This window comes from Homo sapiens, chromosome 4 (genome assembly GCF_000001405.40).
Source record: "Homo sapiens chromosome 4, GRCh38.p14 Primary Assembly".
Taxonomy (NCBI): Eukaryota; Metazoa; Chordata; class Mammalia; order Primates; family Hominidae; genus Homo; species Homo sapiens.
Genome location: NC_000004.12, coordinates 120,794,095 through 120,819,447, shown reverse-complemented (window position 1 = coordinate 120,819,447; position 25,353 = coordinate 120,794,095). Strand labels below are relative to the sequence as shown.

The following is a 25,353-nucleotide window of genomic DNA, read 5'->3' as shown; positions in this document are numbered from 1 at the left end:
CATGTGCCATGGCTATTTTTATTTTAGAATTCTTAGTTTTATTTAGAAAAGCAAAGAAACAAAATAAAAACAAACAGCAAAAGAAACAAGCCACCCAAATGTCTAACAATGAAGAGTTTGGTTAAATAAATTGTGGTACTTTAAGTTTAAAAATATGCCAACATTTGACTTGAGAAGATGTTAAATGGGAAAACATATAAAATTGTATATAAAGTATGATCCCAAATTTACCTCTTCTTAGACTGCGCATAAAATATGTATGCACTAAAGGCAAGTCAGGCTTGCCAGTAATATTATGACAGTTGTCTCTTCCTGATGGGATTATTGGTGTTTTTTATTTTCTGCATTTTCTAAGTCTAATTTTATTTTATAATCAGAAACAAATGTGTAATTTAAATAGCACGCTGAGAAATTTGGTCAGACCTGCACCAGTCTATATGGGACCGTGTAGCATAATTCACTCTACTAGCTTAATCAGCACTGTTTTTATGACCTTGGTCTTTTTTCACATGTATGTGAGATTCTCCTTGGTAATTCAATATAGTTTGCATCAGTTGGATTTTTCTCCTTGTGAAGGTAAAAATGAGCTAAAAATGACCAATTTCAGGAATAGCTTTTGTTTTCTAATTTAACATTTTGATCTGAAAAGTTAACATTATAGGATGAATTAAATAAGGAATTTGACTTTGTATTAATTTGGTGAAATACAAGTGATTTTGAAAATAATGTATTTCTCTCTAGTAACACTTGCTATTATTTTTTTGTGGCCAAATACTATTAATATTTATAGTGATAATAAGAATTTATTCATATGGTATCATTAAGCACAATTAATTAATTAATTTAAAATGAGAGCAAAACTGAGCATTTCTTGGCTCTGAATTTTTGTCTCATGAATATGTTTCCTTGTGAATGTGCAGATCGCCTTGGCTGTAAAGAGGACTATGCTTGTCCTCAATGTGAATCGAGTTTTACCAGTGAGGATATTCTTGCTGAGCATCTCCAGACATTGCACCAGAAACCCACAGAGGAGAAAGAATTTAAGTGCAAGAACTGTGGGAAGAAATTCCCAGTTAAGCAGGCTTTGCAAAGACAGTGCGTATATTAAAGAAATATCTTTAAAATTATAAGCTAACACAGTTTATTCCATTCAGCTTAACTCATAGTTTTTAACCTGTGTGTGTGTGTGTGCACGCGCGCACGCGCATGTTTTGTGTGTGAATGAGAGATTAAGCATTTTACATTGGTATTGTCATTAACTCATCTTTTCTTAGTATAGTATGTTGATTATTAAAATATTCAAATTATGGATTTTAACACATAAACACTGTTTATGGTAATTAGTTTTTGTCCATTTATTAATTTGCCATTATGTATCAAGCTTACTGGTTTAATCTGAAATTCAGATATGCCTACTTTAGTTACTCCTTTGAGGTAACAGACTTTTAGTTGTCTACGTTTTATATTCCTTCTGGAATCTGTTTAAAAAAAAGTTTAAGAAATGGGGAGTTCAAAGTATAAAGAATTCCTGGACATTTTGGGAAGCACTGTTTATTTGAGAGCAACTTTGGAGGAATAATTTAAAGATGCATAGGTCCCAGTTATAACAATATGATTAATTAGATGATCCCACACATAGCTCTGTACCCTTTTTTATTTTAACAATTTATATTAACAACATAAAATTATCTTTATTTAAATATTTTACAGGATCAGAAATTGTTAAAAGTGAGAAAGTAGGTATATGCATTTGTAAAGTTTTATTTTTTTACTCATTAAAGTTTGTAATTTTAATCAGATAATTGAATTTAAGTAATTTAAAAGCATATTTACATATTGGATGCAACTGTAGACTCTCATTGTGTTGAAGCCAATTACTTCCAATATGAAAGTAATGTAAATTGTCCCATCTCATCAACATATCTCTTCTCTTATGTGCTCCCATCCTGCCATTTACTTTCTTTCTCCAACCTTAGCTTCTCATTTTAACAGAATGTTACCTTACTTATGAGCAAGAAATCTTTAACATAGGCTTTAATGTTACATTTTTACATTTTTGTGTTTCATTGAACTAAAATTCTGAAATATGCTACATTTCATACTAAGACTGTATGAATATTATTATATGCATCAACTTTTGCTTATAAAAATTGAGATGAAAATTGTGCTTAAAACTTAATAAATGTTCAGAATATCAAAACTTTTATAATAGCAGGATACTACATATTTAGAAATTCTATTGTACTTCCTTAAAAAACAAGCAAGGACTATATGCTTTTAAATAAATAGATGTTAAGTTGCATTCTGGTTAGCTTTTATTGCATTTAGTATTATATATTTATACAAAAGACACTGCTGAGCAAGAGCTTATAGTTAAGGTACTGCTAAAAATTTAAAAAGGCAAAAGACAATGAAAAAAGGGATCACGAACATGACTTTATTCAGAGTTAGTGTAGTTTCATTTTTGTCTTAGAGTTCCAGTTTTTGTTTTCTTTTCTTTCTCTTTTTCCTATTTCCCTTTAGTGTTCTTCAGTGCACAGCGAAAAGCAGTCTAAAGGAGTCTTCGCGAAGTTTTCAGTGCTCTGTTTGCAATTCTTCCTTCAGTTCAGCATCGAGGTTTTGTGTCTGAGTTATGAAATGGCTGTTATATAATTGTGGGTCATTTTTTGCATGCATACTTTCATGCTTCTTAGTAATTCAGTTTCACATACCTACAGAATTTAAATGCTTTTCTTCTTACCTGCATAGGTAATGCATGGAATGACCCCGAAACTCTACTAGGGAGCATGTATTACAAAATCTTGCTGATGTTTGAGTTTTGTAGGTATGTCTTCACCATTTCTTCCTGTTCCGCTTTGCTGGTTGTCTTGTAGTTTTGAGCAGCACCAGGAGACTTGCCGGGGGGATGCCAGGTTTGTGTGCAAGGCTGACAGCTGTGGAAAGAGGCTGAAGAGCAAGGATGCCCTGAAAAGACACCAGGAAAATGTCCACACTGGTGAGGAGTCGTTGGAGGGTCGTTTCCGAAGGGGCTTCCTTTCCCCAGGCTGCAGCGATCTGTTTTTAATTCTCGCTCTTGAGGAGAGAGCTGGCTTTTCCATTGTGTTTCACACAGATGTGGAGCGCTGGCAGTGGATTTTTTTCTTTCACTGAACACTATTTCTTTCTCAGGTTGAATTTAGCAGCATTTGTTCTTTTTCCCATTCCTGAATTAATTATAACTGTAAGCCTTAGTTAAAGTCTAGTTATGTTTGGGTGGTCAGATGCATTAAGAATTAATATTTTTAAGTAACAATTTTAAATGTTTTGGCATGTGACATTTCTTTTATAAATTGTTAAAATTTATCATTATTAAGTGATGTCCTTCTGCCTTATTATTTTTACAGTAAAAATCCAACTTGTGAAAATACAGTTCTCCTAAGTTAGAGAAAATTGCTAACACATTTTGACATTGGAATTGAATATGTATGGATTAACAAAACAAATATTATTTGAATTCCATCTGATAGCTAGCTAAACAATAAAACAAATATAAAATTTGACTGTCTTTTGGGTTTATCTGCTTAGCACATGGTATACTGTCAGTAAATATATTTTGGCTTAGGGATTAAATCTATTGCAGTGAGTTGAACAGATGGCTGTATTGTCTCAGTTAACTTTTTACTTCTTGTCTTTTTACCTCCAAAGACTTCCTCCTTAAAGGAGGTTGAGATTTATGAAACCCTGTGTGTTCTTCTCTTCATATTCTTTGTTCATGTGTTTATTTTTGCCCTTGACTTCTGGGAAATGGGTGGCTATGTGTCTCTGGATGTGGGGGAAAGTGGATTTCTTTTCTCCCTTCAGTTGTTTATTCTTATATTCAGGAGAAGATGATAATCTGCACCCAGCATCTGTATCCTGTATTTGTTCATTGTCCAAAAAGTATTCACTTTAATAATAATACAGTTATAGAGGCTAGCGTGAACAACTGCTAGCTGCGACTTTGCATCATTGGTTTGGGCTGCATATTAAGTGCAACCTATGGTGAAAGCTCTGTGTGGTGGAAGTAGGGCCTTGTGAAATGCACCTCCAGCTTGGTGCCCTTCACTAGGCTTTTACAGTGTTCTGGTTTCTTTCTTTCCTTTTGAAGAATACACAGCTGACTTAGGGAAGATGGATTTTTTTCTGAATTCAGTATACTGGGGTCTTCCCTATGATTGCAAAAGGCAAGCATAACTTTTTGATAGACTTGCCTTCGTAGTTTTTTGATTTTCAATGCTGTTCTAGTTAAAATGCTATTCTTAATTTTCTTCATCTATGTCTGCAATATATTGTAATAGAACTTTCATGTCAGTTTTAAAGCTTAAGTTTGCTGAACTAAGTAAAAAACCAGATGCATACGAAACTCTGGAGACTTGCATTCTTATTACTGGGCATGTTGTCTTCAGGCTGTGCTATAAGCACAATGTCTTTGAGGCTTCTTGTAGTTGGCCTTGCATATTGTAATATTATTAATTCTGGAAATTTATGGTGATTTTGTAGGAAATAATTCATAAAAGGAAATCTTGTTTTATATATATTTTTTAATTTGTGGACCATATAAAGTGTAAAATCTTGCTGTATTTTAGCTAACGGTTACTATGCCATATGTTTTGCTGGGGTTGGTACATGATGTCATTCTCTCATTCACAGTATGTCTCTTGCTTCTCCCCTTTCCTCCATGGGCTGCACAGGCATTGGAGGAAAGAATATTCCCTATTGGAGATAGCAAGCAAAGCAGCTCTCATATACATGGTTGTAGAATCCTTTATTATAGAAAGGCAAAGGCACTCAAAGAAAGAGATCTTTGATGGCAAATGTTTTTTTGTTAAGGTGATATGAATTGAGGATGATGATTAGAGAGAAGCTGAATTTTTCAATATGGATCACATTTTTCCATAGCAACCATAACATGGGTAGGTAGGTTCTCAGACCAGCTCCTAGAAGCATACTTAGCTCACAGCGTGTTGAAAGTTGAGTACTTAAGTGATTGTGTATTCAGTACAGTTGTATTAATTTCCTCACATGGCCTACTGGTATAAGTAATGTGTTCCTAAATGTTTTTGAAAGTTTAAATCTGAAAGTCAAATATCAGATTTACCTAAATAGGAAAGTTAAGACAGTATAACATCTAGTTATGGCTTTGCAGGTGCTGTTATCCATGAGCCTAGGGGAGCTGGTAGAGTGGTGAGGCTCCTCACAGTTACTTAAGAGGGAACAGAGTGAAGGGGCTAAGCTCCTCCGTCACTTCCCATCTTTCCCTTTTGCTTAGATTCCATGGTTGCTGACAAAGAGACTTTGCATTAATGGGAGATAACATTTATCTACATTCTCAGATGAATAGTCATACATTTTTCCTGTGTGTCTTCTCAGAGGAGCTAGGATTCTTCTAGGGTGAAAAAGAGGAGAAGCCATGAAAAGGAGAGAGAAGACTGAAGATTGGGGATGAGGGTTTGATGTATACCCTTTGATACCTGCAGGCAGAGTTGTGGCAGGAGTGCAGGGGTAAAGTGAGAGTGGTGGGTGGAGAAATCTGTTTCTTTCTCTCCTCTCTCCTCCTCGGACCCATCCAGTGGGAAGGAGTAGGGCCTAGTATCAAGGAGTAGTTGCTATGAGGGCTAGGACAGGGCAATAAAGGATTATTGGTGGAAGATGGACCATCCCAACTAGTAGGACCTGGAAAAGAGGGAATATTCTTTCTGAATGGTGCCTCAGGTATGATATGTTTAGGAAATTGATGACCAAATATATGCTATCAGATATTCATTTTGCCTGGGAGAATTTTCTCCTTTAGTAGCCATGTTACTTTTCAATCACTGAGAAGCATTTTCTTGGCTATCATATTTAGCCTGCTAAAAACAGTGCATTAAATGGAATAGGCATCTTGAATAATAAGACAAAAATTCATATTTGCCATTTGAAAGTATATTTCTTTCATAAATGCAGTCCTATAATAAAACGAAATCATTTTGTAATATTGATTTTACTTGTTTTAGATTTGCTTCAAAATATAGAGAAGTGGGAGAGTGGATGGGATTGAGGTTGAGGCAGGAATGGTCATGGTGAGTCATTGTTGGGGCCAGGTGATGGATAGATGGTGATTCATTATACTATATGCTTACTTTTTGTATATTTGAAATAAACCAATTAAAAGTTGAAAACATATTTTATGGTTATTCATTGTGGTGCATTTGATATTATTATATCACATTTAATAATGTTTGATTGCCTCTTCATTTCTATAACAACTGTGAAATTTGAAATATGAAATGAGCTACTGTAAACATAATCACTACATAAGAAGACAGAATCTGGCTTTGAGTAATAGTATGAATTGCCAATATATTGTTTTATTGTACTTTATTTCTTAATGTTAACTTGATAAGCATATACTTAAAGATTTTATAAAACTCTAGTGCTGGAAAGAATAATCTATAAATTCTATCTTAAAAAACCCAGCTGATTAAATAAAATATTCTGTTGAAATGTAAAAGAATTAACACAATCACTTTATGAATTAATAAATTTAGTTTTTTCTTTTACAAACACATTTGGTTAATTTTAATTTTGCTTTGAATTCCTTGTGGATATATCACTTTCTCTTTTAATACTATACAGTATTAGTACATGGAAAAGTGAAAGGCCTGTTTTATATATGAGAAAGGTGGTATATGAAGCTGTGAAGATGTCTCAAATTTAAAAAGAAAGCATTTACACAGAATGGGAGAAAATATTTGCAAACTACCCATCTGACAAGTGATTAATAACCAGAATATATAAAGTGCTCAAACAACTCAATAGGAAAAAAATCAAATAATCTAATGAAAACATGAAGAAAATATCTGAATAGACATTTTTCAAAAGAAGACAAATGGCCAACAGGTATATGAAAAAATGTTCAGCAAAATTAATCATCAGAAAAAAATGCAAATCAAAACTACAGTGAGATATCATCTCACCCTAGTTAAAATGGCTTCTATCCAAAAGACGGAATAACGAATGCTGGAGAGGATGTGGAGAAAGGGGAATGCTTGTACACTGTTGGTGGGAATGCAAATTAGTACAGCCTCTTTGGGTAATGGTATGGTGGTTACTCAAAAGACTGAAGATAGAGCTAGCAATTCCACTGTAGATATATACCCCAGTGAAAGGAAATCAGTATATTGAAGAGATATCTGCACTCCCATGTTTATTGCAGCACTATTCACAATAGCCAATATTTGGAATCAACCTAAGTGTCCATCAATGAGAGAATGGGTAAAGGTAATTTTCTTAAGTGAAGTAAGCCAGGCACAGCTGCACAAATTTCACATGTGCTCACTTATATATGGAAGCTAAAATTAAAACTATTAAACTCATGAAGATAGAGAATAGAATGATGGTTACCAGAGGCTGGGAAGGGTAGCGGGGAGGGGGTGAATAAAATGGGATAGTTAATAGGTGTAAAAATATAGTTATAATGAATACGATCTATTATTTGATAGCACAACAGGGTGACTATAGTCAACATAACTTATTGTATATTTAAAAATAAAAGAATAGAATTGGAATGTTTCTAACACAAATGATAGATGCTTGAGGTGATAGGTACCCCAATTACCCTGATGTGATTATTACACATTGCATGCCTATATTGAAACATCACATGTACCCGAAAAATACATAACACCTATTATGTACCCATAATAATAAAAATTATGAAAAGGTATATAAGCTTCTGCATTCTCTTGGGAGCTTGGGTCTTTATTCTGAAGGCTCCCCTATATACATGTTAATTAATTTGTATGTCTTTTCTCTAATTAAAAATAATTAAAAAGATTTAAAATATAACTTACTCTTTAAGTTTAATGAATATATCTACAACACTGAATTGTTTAGAATTCTAAATTATGAAGATGAACTTACATATCACCTCGAAACACTATTTGTTTTTCCTCTTAATAGTCTCATTTAAATCATCATGGTATTTTATTTCTATTTTAGGAGATCCTAAGAAAAAGCTTATATGTTCAGTGTGCAATAAAAAGTGTTCTTCAGCATCAAGCCTACAGGAACATAGAAAGGTCAGTAAGATAAAAATTCATCACAGTTTAATATCTATCTTTAATAATTTTAATATGTTTTATAGTAAGTATAAAAGTTACCAAGTTATTTTGATGTGAAAAGATAATCTGAAAAATCAATGGCAATTATTAACTCTAACAACATTAGCAACTATTTAATATAATTTGTAATAAAATAGAATTAATGGAGTTTTAATTTTTGCTCTTGTTATGACAAGGTCCAATATATTCATACTATATTTTATTATTATAACAAAGATGTAAATGATCATTGTTAATTTCACATATTGTTTCTTTTAGCATAGCTATGAGCATGAGATATTTTCTTTACAAAAGAGAAGGAGATGGTATTCGTGAAAATAAAATTTTACTTTTGTTATGGTTTGTAAAATGAATTTTTGTTTCTGTTTATATATAGATGTATTACAAAGTAATTTGACAGGACTTAAAATTTATATGATTTTTAATCCAGTAGCTCCAACCATGTGCTGTGGGTTTAACTTATAACATGTGAGGCAGCTAAATTATTGTGTTGATATGTCTGAGGTTATATCTTGTATGTTTAGTGATTTTGATACTTAAGGAGAAATAATAGGACAAGCACCAGACCAGGAATCAGGGTAGTGGGTTTCTTTTTCTATCACTAACCTTCCATGTAACATTAGGCCTTTCTTCTCCCATTTATAAAATGGGACACTGAATTGATCAGTATTCTCTTGTTTGTTTGTTCTCTATGTACCATGAAACTACTTTTTTTTTTTGGTTTTCAGTTTTCAAGTGGCAGTCTTATTAGATTGTTTAGAGATATGGAATGCTTTATGAATTTGTGTGTCCTCCTTGTGCAGAGGCCATGCTAATCTTCTTTGTTACATTCCAATTTCGGTGCTGCTAAAATGAGCACTGAGATTACTTTTAAAGGAAAAATTTTATGCAGAATGCCAATCCAGAGGACCCTTTTATAGGTCTTTTTTCCTCCTTCCCCCTCACCCTTATGGCTTCTGAAGCAGAACCCTTATGGCTGAAGCAGTTCATCTTCTGCAGAGACAAAACAATTAAGTCTACTGGAATAGATCTCTTCTAAGCATCCTCTTTTATAATTCTATGATTTATTTTTCTGACCCATTTAAATCTTAGAGGTTGAAATTTAAGCTATTTTACCAAATAGAGCAATGGTTCCCAACCTTCTTGGTACTAGGGACCGTTTTCCTGGAAGACAAGTTTTCCAAGGACCAGGGGGTGGGGGAGGAGGTTTTAGGATGATTCAAGCACATTACATTTATTGTGTACTTTATTTCTATTATTATTACATTAAAATGTATAATGAAATATTTATAAAACTCACCATAATATAGAATCAGTGAGAGCCCTGAGCCTGTTCTCTTGTAGCTAGACAGTCCCATCTGGGGGTGATGGGAGACAGTGACAGATCATCAGGCATCAGACACTCCTATGTGATGGTAATGGAATACAGAAACTATAACTCATGCCTCCTGAGTGGTCTTTGCAGAATGTTAATAAGTTGCTAGCTCAATGCAGCCCTTCCTCCATTTCAGCCATAGTCCTTCACTATTCAGCCTTTCCGAATCCATAGTCAACTTTTATTGACTCCAATTGGAACTTTTCCTATAGTTGAGAATGTCTAATGTCTAATAGAGTTAGGTTGCAGTATTTCACCTTGCCAGTAGATGATGCTATATGACAATGCCAAATTATACTATAGTCTAGTATCTTAAATTACTATTTATTATCTCCTATAATGATAAGGTATATTATGATTCTTCTTGAAAATAATTTGGGAGTTCAAATTTTAAAATATTACCCTCCAAATTAATTTGGTACACTGTAAATTTTATAAAATCTCATAAAAATATACTTTATTTAGCATTTGGCATAATTAAATAGTATTACTTGTCATTTTCACTTTAAATATGATCTTTTTATTAAGCATTTTTTTGTTTTTTTTAAAAGTATTTTTTTATTATACTTTAAGTTCTAGGGAACATGTGCACAACGTGCAGGTTTGTTACATAGGTATACATGGGCCATGTTGTTGTGCTGCACCCATTGACTTGTCATTTACATTAGGTATATCTCCTAATGCTATCCCTCCCCCCTCCCCTCACCCCACGACAGGCCCTGGTGTGTGATGTTCCCCACCCTGTGTCCAAGTGTTCTCATTTTTCAGTTCCCACCTATGAGTGAGAACATGCAGTGTTTGGCTTTTTGTCCTTGCGATAATGAGAGGTGACAGTGTGCTGGCAGCCCTCGCAGCCTTCGCTCCATCTTGATGCCTCCTCGGCCCTTGGCGCCCGCTCTGGCCATGCTTGAGGAGCCTTTCAGCCCACTGCTGCACTGTGGGAGCCCCCTTCTGGGCTGGACAAGGCCGGAGCCGGCTCCCTCAGCTTGCCAGGAGGTGTGGAGGGAGAGGGCCAGGCGGGAACCGGGGCTGCCTGCGGCGCTTGCGGGCCAGCGTGAGTTCCAGGTGGGCGTGGGCTAGGTGGGCCCCTCACTTGAAGCAGCCGGCCAGCCCGCAAACCCTGGGCAGTGAGGGACTTAGCACCTGGGCCAGCAGCTGCTGTGCTCAATTTCTCACAGGGCCTTAGCTACCTCCCTGTAGGGGAGGGCACGGGACCTGCAGCCCACCGTGCCTGAGCCTCCCCATTGCCGTGGGCTCCTGTGCAGCCCGAGCCTCTCAGGAGGAGTGCCTCCCCCTGCTCCATGGTGCCTGGTCCCATCGACCACCCAAGGGCTGAGGAGTGTGGGCACACAGCGCGGGACTGGCAGGCAGCTCCACCTGTGACCCCAGTGTAGGATCCACTGGGTGAAGCCAGCTGGGCTCCTGAGTCTGGTGGGGACTTGGAGAACCTTTATGTCTAGCTAAGGGATTGTAAATACACCAATTGGTACTCTGTATCTAGTTCAAGGTTTATAAACACACCAATCAGCACCCTGTGTCTAGCTCAGGGTTTGTGAATGCACCAATCAACACTCTGTATCTAGCTAATGGGGACGTGGAGAACTTTTGTGTCCACACTCTGTATCTAGCTAATCTAGTGGGGAGGTGGAGAACTGTTGTCTCTAGCTCAGGGATTGTGAATGCACCAATCAGCACCCTGTCAAAACGGACCAATCAGCTCTCTGTAAAATGGACCAATCAGCAGGATGTGGGTAGGGCCAGATAAGAGAATAAAAGCAGGCTGCCCCAGCCAGCAGTGGCAACCCGCTCAGGTCCCCTTCCACACTGTGGAAGCTTTGTTCTTTTGCTCTTTGCAATAAGTCTTGCTGCTGCTCACTCTTTGGGTCCACACTGCCTTTATGAGCTGTAACACTCACTGCAAAGGTCTGCAGCTTCTCTCCTGAGGCCAGTGAGACCGTGAACCCACCGGGAGGAGCAAACAACTCCAGATGTGCCGCCTTTAAGAACTGTAACACTCACCGCGAAGGTCTGCAGCTTCACTTCTGAAGCCAGCGAGACCATGAACCCACCAGAAGGAAGAAACTCCAAACACATCTGAACCTCAGAAGGAACAAACTCCGGACACACCACCTTTAAGAACTGTAACACTCACCGTGAAAGTCTGCAGCTTCACTCCTGAAGCCAGCGAGACCATGAACCCACCAGAAGGAAGAAACTCCAAACACATCCGAACCTCAGAAGGAACAAACTCCGGACACACCGCCTTTAAGAACTGTAACACTCACTGTGAGGGTCTGCGGCTTCATTCTTGAAGTCAGTGAGACCAAGAACCCACCAATTCCGGACACATAGTTTGCTGACAGTGATGGTTTCCAGCTTCATCCATGTCCCTACAAAGGACATGAACTCATCCTTTTTTATGGGCTGTGTAGTATTCCATGGTGTATGTGTGCCACATTTTCTTAATCCAGTCTGTCATTGATGGACATTTGGGTTGGTTCCATGTCTTTGCTATTGTGAATAGTGTTGCAATAAACATACGTGTGCATGTGTCTTTATAGCAGCATGATTTATATTCCTTTGGGTATAACCCAGTAATGGTATATACCCATATATGGCTGGGTCAAATGGTATTTCTAGTTCTAGCTCCCGGAGGAATCACTACACTGTCTTCCACAATGGTTGAACTAATTTACAGTCCCACCAACAGTGTGAAAGTGTTCCTATTTCTCCACATCCTCTCCAGCACCTGTTGTTCTCTGACTTTTTAGTGATTGCCATTCTAACTGGTGTGAGATGGTATCTCATTGTGGTTGTGATTTGCATTTCTCTGATGGCCAGTGATGATGAGCATTTTTTCATGTGTCTGTTGGCTACATAAATCTCTTCTTTTGAGAAGTGTCTGTTATGTCCTTCACCCACTTTTTGATGGGGTTGTTTGTTTTTTTTCTTGTAACTTTGTTTGAATTCTTTGTAGATTCTGGATATTAGCCCTTTGTCAGATGAGTAGATTGCAAAAATTTTCTCCCATTCTGTAGGTTGCCTGTTCGCTCTGATGGTAGTTTCTTTTGCTGTGCAGAAGCTCTTTAGTTTAATTAGATCCCATTTGTCAATTTTGGCTTTTGTTGCCATTGCTTTTGGTGTTTTAGAGATGAAGTCCTTGCCCATGCCTATGTCCTGAATGGTATTGTCTAGGTTTTCTTCTAGGGTTTTTATGGTTTTAGGTCTAACATTTAAGTCTTTAATCCATCTTGAATTAATTTTTGTATAGGGTGTAAGGAAGGGATCCAGTTTCAGCTTTCTACCTATGGCTAGCCAGTTTTCCCAGCACCATTTATTAAATAGGGAATCCTTTCCCCATTTCTTGTCTTTGTCAGGTTTGTCAAAAATCAGATGGTTGTAGATGTGTGGTATTATTTCTGAGGCCTCTGTTCTGTTCCATTGGTCTATAGATCTGTTTTTGTACCAGTGCCATGCTGTTTTGGTTACTGTAGCCTTGTAGTATAGTTTGAAGTCAGGTAGGGTGATGCCTCCAGCTTTGTTCTTTTTGCTTAGCATTGTCTTGGCAATGTGGGCTTTGTTTTAGTTCCATAGGAACTTTCACGTAGTTTTTTCCAATTCTGTGAAGAAAGTCATTAGTAGCTTGATAGGGATGGCATTGAATCTAGAAATTACCTTGGGCAGTATGGCCATTTTCACAATATTGATTCTTCCTATCCGTGAGCATGGAACGTTCTTCCATTTGTTTGTGTCCTCTTTTATTTCACTGAGCAGTGGTTTGTGCTTCTCCTTGAAGAGGTCCTTCACATCCCTTGTAAGTTGGATTCCTAGGTATTTTATTCTCTTTGAAGCAATTGTGAATGGGAGTTCACTCATGATTTGGCTCTCTGTTTTTCTGTTATTGGTGTATAAGAATGCTTGTGATTTTTGCACTTTGATTTTGTATCCTGAGACTGCTGAAGTTGCTTATTAGCTTAAGGAGATTTTGGACTGAGATGATGGGGTTTTCTAGATATACAGTCATGTCATCTGCAAACGGACAATTTGACTTCCTCTTTTCCTAATTGAATACCCTTTATTTTTTTCTCCTGCCTGATTGCCCTGGCCAGAATTTCCAACACTATGTTGAATAGGAGTGGTGAGAGAGGGCATCCCTGTCTTATGCCAATTTACAAAGGGAATGCTTCCAGTTTTTGCCCACTCAGTATGATATTGGCTGTGTGTTTATCATAAGTAGCTCTTATTATTTTGAGATATGTCCCATCAGTACCTAGTTTATTGAGAGTTTTTAGCATGAAGGGCTATTGAATTTTGTCAAAGGCCTTTTCTGTATCTATTGAGATAATCATGCGGTTTTTGTCTTTGATTCTGTTTATATACTGGATTACATTTTTTGATTTGTGTATGTTGAACCAGACTTGCATCCCAGGAATGAAGCCCACTTGATCATGGTGGATAAGCTTTTTGATGTGCTGCTGGATTTGATTTGCCAGTATTTTATCGAGGATTTTTGCATCGATGTTCTTCAGGGATATTGGTCCAAAATTCTCTTTTTTTATTCTGTCTCTGCCAGGCTTTCGTATCAGGATGATGCTGGCCTCACAAAATGAGTTAGGGAGGATTCCCTCTTTTTCTATTGATTGGAATAGTTTCAGAAGAAATGGTACCAGCTCCTCCTTGTACCTCTGGTAGAATTCGGCTGTGAATCCGTCTGGTCTTGGACTTTTTTTGGTTGGTAGGCTATTAATTATTGCCTCAATTTCAGAGCCTGTTATTGGTCTATTCAGGGATTCACCTTTTTCCTGCTTTAGTCTTGGGAGGGTGTATGTGTCGAGGAATGTATCCATTTCTTCTAGATTTTCTAGTTTATTTGCGTAGAGGCGTTGATAGTATTATCTGATGGTAGTTCGTATTTCTGTGGGATTGGTGGTGATATCCCCTTTATCATTTTTGATTGCATCTATTTGATTCTTCTCTCTTTTCTTCTTTATTAGTCTTGCTAGCGGTCTATTAATTTTGTTGATCTTCTCAAAAAACCAGCTCCTGGATTCATTGATTTTTTGAAGGGTTTTTTGTGTCTCTGTTTCCTCCAGTTCTGCTCTGGTCTTAGTTATTTCTTGCCTTCTGCTAGCTTTTGGATGTGTTTGTTCTTGCTTCTCTAGTTCTTTTAATTGTGAAGTTAGGGTGTCAATTTTAGATCTTTCCTGCTTTCTCTTGTGGGCATTTAATGCTATAAATTTCCCTCTACACACTACTTTAAATGTGTCCCAGAGATTCTGGTATGTTGTGTCTTTGTTCTCTTTGGTTTCAAAGAACATCTTTATTTCTGCCTTCATTTTGTTATGTACCCAGTAATCATTCAGGAGCAGGTTGTTCAGTTTCCATGTAGTTGAGTGGTTTTGAGTGAGTTTCTTAATGCTGAGTTCTAGTTTGATTGCACTGTGATCTGATAGATAGTTTGTTATAATTTCTGTTCTTTTACATTTGCTGAGGAGTGCTTTACTTCCAACTATGTGGTCAATTTTGGAATAAGTGCAATGTGGTGCTGAGAAGAATGTATGTTCTGTTGATTTGGGGTGGAGAGTTCTGTAGATGTCTATTAGGTCTGCTTGGTGCAGAGCTGAGTTCAATTCCTGGATATCCTTTTTAACTTCTGTCTCATTGATCTGTCTAATGTTGTCAGTTGGGTGTTAAAGTCTCCAATTATTATTGTGTGGGAGTCTAAATCTCTTTGTAGGTCTCTAAGAACTTGCTTTATGAAACTGGGTGCTCCTGTATTGGGTGCATATATATTTAGGATAGTTAGCTCTTCTTGTTGAATTGATCCCTTTATCGTTATGTAATGGCTTTCTTTTTCTCTTTTGATCTTTGTTGGTTTAAAGTCTGTTTTATCAGAGACTAGGATTGCAACCCTGCCTTTTTGTTTTCCATTTGCTTGGTAGATCTTCCTCCATCCCTTTATTTTGAGCCTATTTGTGACTCTGCACGTGAGATGGGTCTCCTGAATACTGCACACTGATGGGTGTTGACTCTCTATCCAATTTGCCAGTCTGTGTCTTTTAATTGGAGCATTTAGCCCATTTACATTTAAGGTTAATATTGTTATGTGTGAATTTGATCCTATCATTATGATGTTAGCTTGCTATTTTGCTCGTTAGTTGATGCAGTTTCTTCCTAGCATCGATGGTCTTTACAATTTGGCATGTTTTTGCAGTGGCTGGTACTGGTTGTTCCTTTCCATGTTCAGTGCTTCCTTCAGGAGCTCTTGTAGGGCAGGCCTGGTGGTGACAAAATCTCAGCATTTTCTTGTCTGTAAAGTATTTTATTTCTCCTTCACCTATGAAGCTTAGTTTGGCTGGATATGAAATGCTGGGTTGAAAATTCTTTTCTTTAAAATGTTGGATATTGGCCCTCACTCTCTTCTGGCTTGTGGAGTTTCTGCCAAGAGATCCACTGTTAGTCTGATGGGCTTTCCTTTCTGGGTAACCCGACCTTTCTCTCTGGCTGCCCTTAACATTTTTTCCTTCATTTCAACTTTGGTGAATCTTACGATTATGTGTCTTGGAGTTGCTCTTCTTGAGGAGTATCTTTGTGGTGTGTCTGTATTTCCTGAATTTGAATGTTGGCCTGCCTTGCTAGGTTGGGTAAGTTCTCCTGGATAATATCCTGCAGAGTGTTTTCCGTCTTGGTCCCATTCTCCCTGTCACTTTCAGGTACAACAATCAGATGTAGATTTTGTCTTTTCATGTAGTCCCATATTTCTTGGAGGCTTCGTTCGTTTCTTTTTATTCTTTTTTCTCTAAACTTTCCTTCTCGCTTCATTTCATCCATTTGATCTTCAATCACTGATACCCTTTCTTCCAGCTGATCGAATCAGCTACCGAAGCTTGTGCATTTGTCATGTAGTTCTTGTGCCATGGTTTTCTGCTCCATCAGGTCATTTAAGGACTTCCCTACACTGCTTATTCTAGTTAGCCATTCGTCTAATCTTTTTTCAAGGTTTTTAGCTTCTCTGCGATGGGTTTGAACTTCTTCCTTTAGCTCGGAGAAGTTTGATCGTCTGAAGCCTTCTTCTCTCAACTCGTCAAAGTCATTCTCCATCCAGCTTTGTTCTGTTGCTGGCAAGGAGCTGCGTTCCTTTGGAGGGGGAGAAGCGCTCTGATTTTTAAAATTTTCAGCTTTTCTGCTCTGCTTTTTTCCCCATCTTTGTAGTTTTATCTACCTTTGGTCTTTGATGATGGTGACGTACAGATGGGGTTTTGGTGTGGATATCCTTTCTGTCTGTTAGTTTTCCTTCTAACAGTTAGGACCCTCAACTGCAGGTCTGTTGGAGTTTGCTGGAGGTCCACTCCAGACCCTCTTTGCCTGGGTATCAGCAGCAGAGGCTGCACAACAGCGAATATTGCTGAATAGCAAATGTTGCTGCCTGATCATTCCTCTGGAAGTTTCGTCTCAGAGGGGTACCTGGCCATGTGGGGTGTCAGTCTGCCCCTATTGGCGGATGCCTCCCAGTTAGGCTACTTGGGAGTCAGGCACCCACTGTCCTGCACCCACTGTACGACAAGCCTCAGTGAGATGAACCCGGTACCTCAGTTGGAAATGCAGAAATCACCCATCTTCTGCGTCGCTCACACTGGGAGCTGTGGACTGGAGCTGTTCCTATTCAGCGATCTTGGAACTGCCCTCTTTATTAAGCATTTTAAGGAATTTTGAACATGGCTTTAGCTTGAATTTTTCACTATAAATGAGATAGTCAATGCACAAATGCTTAAATATATAGTCGATGTTCCCTTTATAGTTTTGGGAATATCAGTTCAATTCAACCTTGAAAAATGTTTCATGTTGAAGCCATGAGAATTAACAAGTGAACAATATTTCACTTAAAAATGAAACAAATGAACAATGTTTCATTTAACGATTTCCATTTTATATGTGGATGAATAATTTTTATAATTTTATATATCAATAGAAATTAAACATTAAAAATGATAACAAAAGTTTTCATTTATGTATAACTCAGAAGGTATGACATCTCTTTAGAGTATCTTGTTTGTCATTATAAAATTATATATATTACAGAAACATAGAGTTTAAGAATATAAATCTGCTCTTACTATCTTTATATAAACATTACAAATCATATCATTGGTCCTCAAACATAGGTGTTTAACTGAAGCCGCTGTGGAAGTCTTTGATGATTGAAGAGGCTGCCTTTAACATGCCTCAGGCTGGAAGTTTTTCTTGTCTGCTCTGGAGCACTAGCATTCCAAACACTTGTGCAGGCAGTCATACAGATCCCACATGCTTTCTAAAGGAACTCTTTGGATTCTAGATATCCCCTCATAGATGCCATTGCATCTAAGCGGGGAGATAAGTCAGACTCTTGTGGAATGACATATTTTGGCTTCTGCCTTGTTTCTCTACTTTTTCCCTGCTTTACATAACTGAATTTAATGACTCACCAAGAGTCAGACCTGACAGAAGCAGAGGCTGGTTGGCAACCTTCAAACTGCCACGTGCTTGGGCATTGAATTAAGCCGTGGGCTGCAGGCCTGGGATCTGTCAGCCTTGCCCCTGCATCTGTTTCCCTGCCTTGAAGCCTTCTATGGCCATTTAGATCAAGAGAACCATTTATCAGGGGCCAGCCGAGTCCTCCACTCATTACTCATGTGCTGTACCAGTTCAGGGACTTTTGCCTAGATCTTTCACTCTGCACTGTTATTCCTAGTTATTCTGCAGGGACACTGTCTTGGCTTCTTGCACAAGGGCGTTTACTTCTCTGGGGTTTAGTATTGTGAGCTGGACCTTTAGTGAGGTTGAAACAAAAACATGACTTCACCACAACCATTTTTGAATATTCAACAACATTGTGTGATGCTGTTGTTCATTGGGATGATCAACATTTCTAATATAATATGATATGTAATACATTTCTTTTAGAATTGAATACATTGTTTCTGAAAACCTAGACTTTTACTTTTCATACCACCTATCCAGTTTCTCTGTGTTAGTGTCTGGGAGGGAAATAACTAATTTAATATTCAGTTTTAATATTTATATTAGCCAATTGTTTACTGAAGTTATATCCCCCCTTATTGTATTTTTTAAATACATTTTATTCTGTATATTTAAGTTATACAACATAATGTGATGAGATACACATATAGTTAAATGATTATTTTAGTGAAATAAATTAATGCATCCATTATCTCACATAGTTACCCATTTTTCCTCCTGTGGCAAGAGCAACTATAATCTACTCACTTAGCAAAAATCCAGAATATAATACGCTATTATCAATTGTAATCTTCGTGTTATACATTAGATCTTTAGAGTTATTCATCCTGCATACCTGCTACTTTGGATCCTTTGACTAGATTTCCTCATTTTAAAAGTTGTGATCCTCCTGTCATGTGAGACTTTTTTTTTTTTTTTTGAGACCGAGTCTCACTCTGTCACCCATGCTGAAATGCAATAGTATGAACACAGCTCACTGAAGCCTCGACTTCCCAGGTTCAAACAATCATCCTGCTTCAGCCTCCTTTGTAGCTGGGACCACAGACGTATGTCATCACACCTGGCTAATTTTTAAAATTTTTTGTAGGGACGAGGTCTCACTTTGTTGTCCAGGCTGATCTCGAACTCCTGGGCTCAAGCAATCCTCTTGCCTTGGCCTCCCAAAGTGCTGGGATTACAAATGTGAGCCACTGCATCTGGCTCATGTGAAACTTCTATTGTGAACTAAATGCTTTTCAGAATCCTGTAACTTCTGATCTTTTACTGTAATTAATGTTGCACTCTCTACTATGTACATTTAAGTTTAAAATATTGTTGGCTACTGTAAAGGGAATATTATTAACTGCATGCTACATATTTCCAAGTCTAAATTTGTGCATAACAGAAGAGTTACTATATATTAGGTGTAATTTTTTACAGAGTATAAATTTAATATGTACTAAATAGGACAGCTGTATTACATTTTTAAGGACTGTGAGTATTATGTCTCAAAAGATATTTTTTACTACATAACTTATGTCCACTGCATTTTCAGTGTATATAGGTTAGTGTGAACAAATTAGGGCTGAATTGTAATATATAGTTTGGGTATTGCAGTGGCAGCTGTTCACATGTTTACACTTTTGCTTGAGAGCTGTGTAATTTACTAGGCTTTGACAGTTGATTTAACTGTCTATTTAACCTTTTGCAGATTCATGAGATATTTGATTGTCAAGAATGTATGAAGAAATTTATTTCAGCTAATCAGCTAAAACGTCATATGATCACCCACTCAGGTAAACTATATACTTTTTTTGTTTATAGTGATATCATTACAAAAAAATTACATTGTCACTTTTTATAAACTCTAAGAGTGGTAATCAGGGGCCTTAGCTATGAATTCTGCTTTGGACCTTTAGTAGTCATGTGATTCTGAACAAGTTATTTAATTCTTTAGTCCTCAGTTTATTTACAGAGCAAAGGTGCTTAGAGTAAATGATATTGAAGATCTTCAGAATCACCATGTAATTTGTCACTTACTCCTCCTTGAGCCTCAGTTTCTTTATTCTTCATTTGTGAAATGGGATACTGGTGCCTACCTTTCAAATTAGCTGCAAAGATTAAATGAGATCATTTAGGTACTGTGCTAGCATAGTGTCTGACATTTAGTAGATATTCAAAAATTATAATTCTTGCATTTTTAGATACTTTTATATTCTAGCTAAGTTACTAATACATGTTAGTAAGAAATCTATAAATACATTTTGAGTATGTAAGTTTTTAAAGCGGTAGTTTCATTTAAGCAAGTCTTATGAATAGCTCTGTTTTACTAATGCAGATTAAAAAAATAAGCTCTGAAAATAGTTTTTACTTTATGGAGTCTCTAGAGTTTAAGATATCTGTAATTTGAGGCGATTGAAGTCAGAATGTTTTTGAATATGCAAGTTGTTGATACATATGAATATTTTAGTAAATTAAAATCAGATCAAAACCTGTTATCTTTTAGGTATGCTTTATTTGATACATATTATATATTTTTTATTTAGGTGTCAATGTTATATGGATATTGCATAAATACGAATTTTACATACCAGTGTAAATATCTGGTTCCTGCCGAGCATTGGAAGCTCTGCCTCCATGAGGCCTTTGTGGCCCTGGGGGAAGGCAGCTCTGTTCTTTGTCTCCATCTCTGTCAGGTCACTTTCTGTATTTGGGGCCCTGACCCTGATTTAAACTGTCACATATCAGCATGGTTTTCATCTGGAAATAGGAGTCCTTCCTTGAATGTAAACCTTTTCTTTATATCTAAGCTACTTTAAAAATTCAAAATACGTCTGTAAGAGAACAAGCTCATATTTCATTTAGGAGTAGACACATTTATGTGTCTATTATGTGGATGGTAGATGTTTTTTAGTTGTTTGACCATCCTTTAGTTTTCTTACCGTAAGAAGTAATATAAGGTAAGGGTGTTTTCTCTTTTATCCTTTACCTTTATATAGATATGAGATTGTCTCCACTCATTTTTTTAATAGAAAAACGACCCTATAATTGCGAGATTTGTAATAAGTCTTTCAAGAGGCTTGATCAAGTGGGTGCTCACAAAGTAATACACAGCGAAGACAAACCTTACAAATGCAAACTTTGTGGAAAGGGATTTGCCCACAGAAATGTTTACAAGAATCATAAGAAGGTAAAACTTATTAATATTATTATTATTTTTTATGAATTTGCTGCTGTGATTTTCAATTTTTATTTTTGATAAAGCTTTTGTACATCTGGGGCCTACTGTATATAATGCAACAACTAGAGAAGATCACTCACCTGGGCCATAACCCCTCACAGCCTCCTTCCTGTCTTCCATTCTCTTTTGAAACTGTCCTTATAAGCAGAGTGCCTAGTTTTTCTTAACACCGCTATTAGATTAATTTTATGGGGTTTACTAATTGTGAAGTCTTTATTCTCTTCCTTCTTTCCATAAACTTTGATGTTTTTATTTACGTTAGCTTTTTGAAATTCTCTTCATCCTTGGGATCCTTGTAGTATGCTCTGCTAGGTCTTCTGCCAATTTCTCTGAACATTTTTGACTTCCTTTCCCCTCAGGAGGTTATTCTGGATCCTTTGCCTGTGAACCTCTTCTGTGTTCTCTCTCCTTAAGAAATGTCAACTACATCCATGACTTCTGCTATCAACACCATACTGATGAATTCCAAATGATTTATTTTCTTTAATCCCAAGTTTCAGACTCACATTTATAACTGGGCATCTTTTCGACATAATGAATTCAGCATGCCCCAGAATGGTTTTTTCATTCTCTTTGCCCAAGATAGCTTCTCTTTTGGAGTTTCCTCTTTGTCTTAATGACAAAAGCATGTAATTATCCTAGTCTCTTTATTCAGTATTGGTCCCTTTATAAAATTAGAAGCCAAATATAAAGACTCTACCCTTTACATTATCTCATCACTTTCACAGTCATCCCTTCCTTTACCATTCCAACATCCTGATTATTTCTCCCCTGGATTCCTTTAATACTCATCTAATTAGGCTTATCACTTCCTGCTGCAATCCATCCTACAAGGCAAATCATCCCAAAGCATCACTCTGGTATATCACTCTCATACTCTAATATTAAAAGTAGATTGCCAGTGTCTACATATGTAATAGTATATACACCTTCACCTGTCATTCAGAGTTCTCTACATCATGACCTCAGCCTACTTCTCCAGCTTTTTATCCTTTTATCTGCATTAACCATACCTAAAACAACTAAATATTTGCCTGCCTTCTGTGTGACCTCTCTACCTTCTTCTTTCTCTTCAAGTTATTAATATAGTGTCCTAGTTTCTTCTGTTGATTTTGGTTTGCATTTCTTATACTTTACCTTTGCTCAAGTTCTTGTTTCAGAATGTATCATGTAGATAATACATCATGCTTGAATTGAATTCAGGAAATTGGTCCAAAGATATTCAACATCTTAGAAATGCATGTAAAAACATTTTCATGAGATACAAAATACTTGCTTATTGATTTTAGTTGATGTATTATAGCATGCTGTTAAATAACATGTATATGATCTTTTAAAAATAATTTTTCAGTTATTATACTCCATGGGGATTATAATTATTATAATATTTATGGGATACTTCCAAAGACTTCATTTTATCTCTTTTGAAATCATTTAAAAATTATGATACCAATTTCAACTTTAGTCCAAAAAGAGAAAGAAAAAGGCAGATTTACCAAAGAATAAACAGTGTTGATTATAGTGTCTTAAATCGTCTCTGCCTAATTTCTTCCTTACCATCTTTATGTTTACCTCAAGCATTGTACATTCGGGGCAGGACTGCGTTCATTACTGCTGCTTTGGAATTACGTGACTGTAAAAAATTATCTGGCTAGTTCCTGTTTAGTCTCTGGAACCCTCTTATTCCTTTCTCTGATGAAACTGATCTATCCACATTTATGAGTTTTTCACAGTTTGGCTCATGTTATATGCCATATGGGAATTTGGCACAGGATCTTTGCACCATCTCTCATACTTTAAGCCATAAATCATATAAAAGTAATAATGATGTCTTGGGAAGCATAGAAACAATGATGCTTGTAATTTCCAAACTGGAAAGCAACACTCAATCCTTCTGCACTAGACAAATGTATTTCTTACTGTGTTATGATCCTAGCATATATTTGGCATTGTTACATGAAAATACCTGAAATATTCTCCAAGAATCATGTAAAAACAGAAGATCAACCTTTTCTTCCATCACAATCATTAATGGCTAGTTGAGAAACATAGAAGTAAGGATATGCCACAGAAATTAGAAAAAAACGTTAAGAGTCAGTGTGATCTTTATCTTTTAGTATGCTCAAGGGTTATTACTTTTAATTAATTATTCTTTTGTTTTTTGAGAATATAATATATACATTTTTATTATACTTATTTGAGTTATTTTGGGTTGGTTCTTAACATTTAGACTTGCTTGAAAAATAGAATATTATTTTTCATTGTGATTATGATAGCATATACAGAAATTATTTTTATTTTTTGAAATAGAGTCTCACTCTGTCACTCAGGCTAGAGTGCAGTGGCGCAATCTTGGCTCACTGTAATCTCTGCCTCCCAGGTTCAAGTGATTCTTGTGTCTCAGCCTTCCAAGTAGCTGGGACTACAGGCATGTGCCACCATGCCTGGCTAATTTTTGTATTTTTAATAGAGACAGGGTTTCACCCTATTGGCCAGGCTGGTCTAGAACTCCTGACCTCAAGCAATCTGCCTACCTCGGCCTCCCAAAGTGCTGGGATTACAGGTGAGAGACACGGTGCCTGGCCAGCATATAGAGAAATTTTAAAGGGGTGTTTTTTTTTTTTTTTGAAAATTTAGTTACTCATTTATTTCATCATCTTGCCAGTTATATGGGTTCAATAGGTTACTTTTTCTTCTTCATTTTTTCTGACAATCATTTGATCTGAATTACAGTTGTATTTTAGGATCTAGCTAAAAAATCTCATTTATCTCAATTCAAATATACTTCGATTCTTTAAATCACAATTGAACCAGTGTTTCAGAGCCAGAGGAGACAGAAACCGTTCAATTACTCTTCACCCTCCATTGTGTTCCCTGTCATATATAATGCAAAGCAAAATTTGGGTAAGTTGTACAGTGCTTCCCTCCTCCTGCTGTAGGATACATGTTTAGATGTAGTGAACCATCTTGGATCCTAGAGCTGGCACCACTTACTTGCTGATGGAAGTGAGTATGGAGGGGTTTTGCCCTCATGAATTTACAAACAAACTCCTAGGGGACAGGTGTGTGCCTATTCAAAAAAAGAATCTTTTTTCCTGACCCTTTACTTAGCCTTCCAGGGATGAAACTTTAGAGGCTTATGAGGAAATCTAGTCACAACTTCTCCTGGAATAATTCCATTGGGCCTTAATGTCTCATCAAGTCTTTTTCAAATTCTGGGCCATGACTGCTGTGTAGGTCTTGAAATCAATTTACTGAGTGATGACTGGCCATTAAAAAATAGAATAGAAGGCTGGGTGTGGTGGCTCATGCCTGTAATCCCAGCACTTTGGGAGGATGAGGTGGGTGGATCCGCTGAGGTCCGGAGTTCAAGACCAGCCTGGCCAACATGGCAAAATGCCATCTCTACTAAAAATACAAAAAAATTAGCCGGGTGTTGTGGCGCACGCCTGTAGTCCCAGCTACTCAGGAGGCTGAGGCAGGAGAATCACTTGAACCCGGGAGGTGGAGGTTGCAGTGAGCCAAGATTGTGCTACTGCACTCCAGCCTGAGCAACAGAGCGAAACTCCGTCTTAAAAAAAAAAAAAAAGTAGAATATAAAATATAGAGTAAAGGGTCATTCAATAAGATAATACATGTATTTGTGTGTATTTGTATGTGTGTGTGTGTGTGTGTGTGTGTGTGTGTGTGTGTGTGTGTGTTAGATTTTGGAGTCAGAATTATTTATTTGGTCATAGCCAAACAATTTAAAAGGCAATACAGTTCACTCTTTGCCTGGTATAAATTTTATTAGACCTTAAAGACAGTAACAAGTTTCTAAAAATATCATGGATTAGAATCTAAAACCAAAACATATGGTGTAAGTTTAACATAGTAAAAAAAAAAGTTCTTGAAAATTTCCTGGAAAGATGTCATCTTGGAGACTGAGTGATGTTCACTCAACAGTTAGAGCACAGCCACTCTTTCCTTTAGCTTTTGCATCAGGTTACTCTTCAGTGATGCTGCAGGAGAGGTAGTACCCATTCATTTAAGGTGTTGCTATATTGTACAAAATCACCTATCTTTGTATGCTAGAAGCACGTTCACAATGAGCTGCACACATTATGAGGGACATGCAGGAT

General features: G+C 36.8%; 1 protein-coding gene and 1 pseudogene across 23 annotated transcripts in view, besides 1 other annotated feature; one reads left to right on the top strand and one right to left on the bottom strand.

Annotated features, from left to right (window-relative positions):
• PRDM5 (PR/SET domain 5) overlaps positions 1–25,353 on the top strand; it is a 238,436-nt gene that overhangs the window by 103,279 nt on the left and 109,804 nt on the right. For 10 of the 23 annotated variants that reach the window (XR_938678.2, XR_938680.3, XR_938679.2 and 7 more), the window contains exons 5-10: positions 921–1,095; positions 2,524–2,616; positions 2,874–2,995; positions 7,999–8,078; positions 19,703–19,787; positions 20,991–21,181. Coding sequence is in view for 20 of the 23 variants with exons in the window: in XM_011531566.4 (XP_011529868.1) it covers positions 921–1,095; positions 2,524–2,616; positions 2,874–2,995; positions 7,999–8,078; positions 19,703–19,787; positions 20,991–21,181 (746 nt within the window). In the remaining 3 variants the exon portion in view is untranslated. The other 13 variants (XM_047449558.1, NM_001300824.2, NM_001379106.1 and 10 more) reach the window with 5 other exon arrangements.
• On the bottom strand, positions 8,879–8,979 carry RNU6-550P (RNA, U6 small nuclear 550, pseudogene; annotated as a pseudogene).
• Positions 22,913–23,082: an enhancer, noted in NCBI's record as "experimental_72637 CRE fragment used in MPRA reporter constructs". NCBI's record gives its function as "activates a minimal promoter by MPRAs in K562 erythroleukemia cells, with activity observed for the non-introgressed 4:121717606 variant allele {active_cell/tissue: K562}" and the evidence as "EXISTENCE:reporter gene assay evidence [ECO:0000049][PMID:34662402]".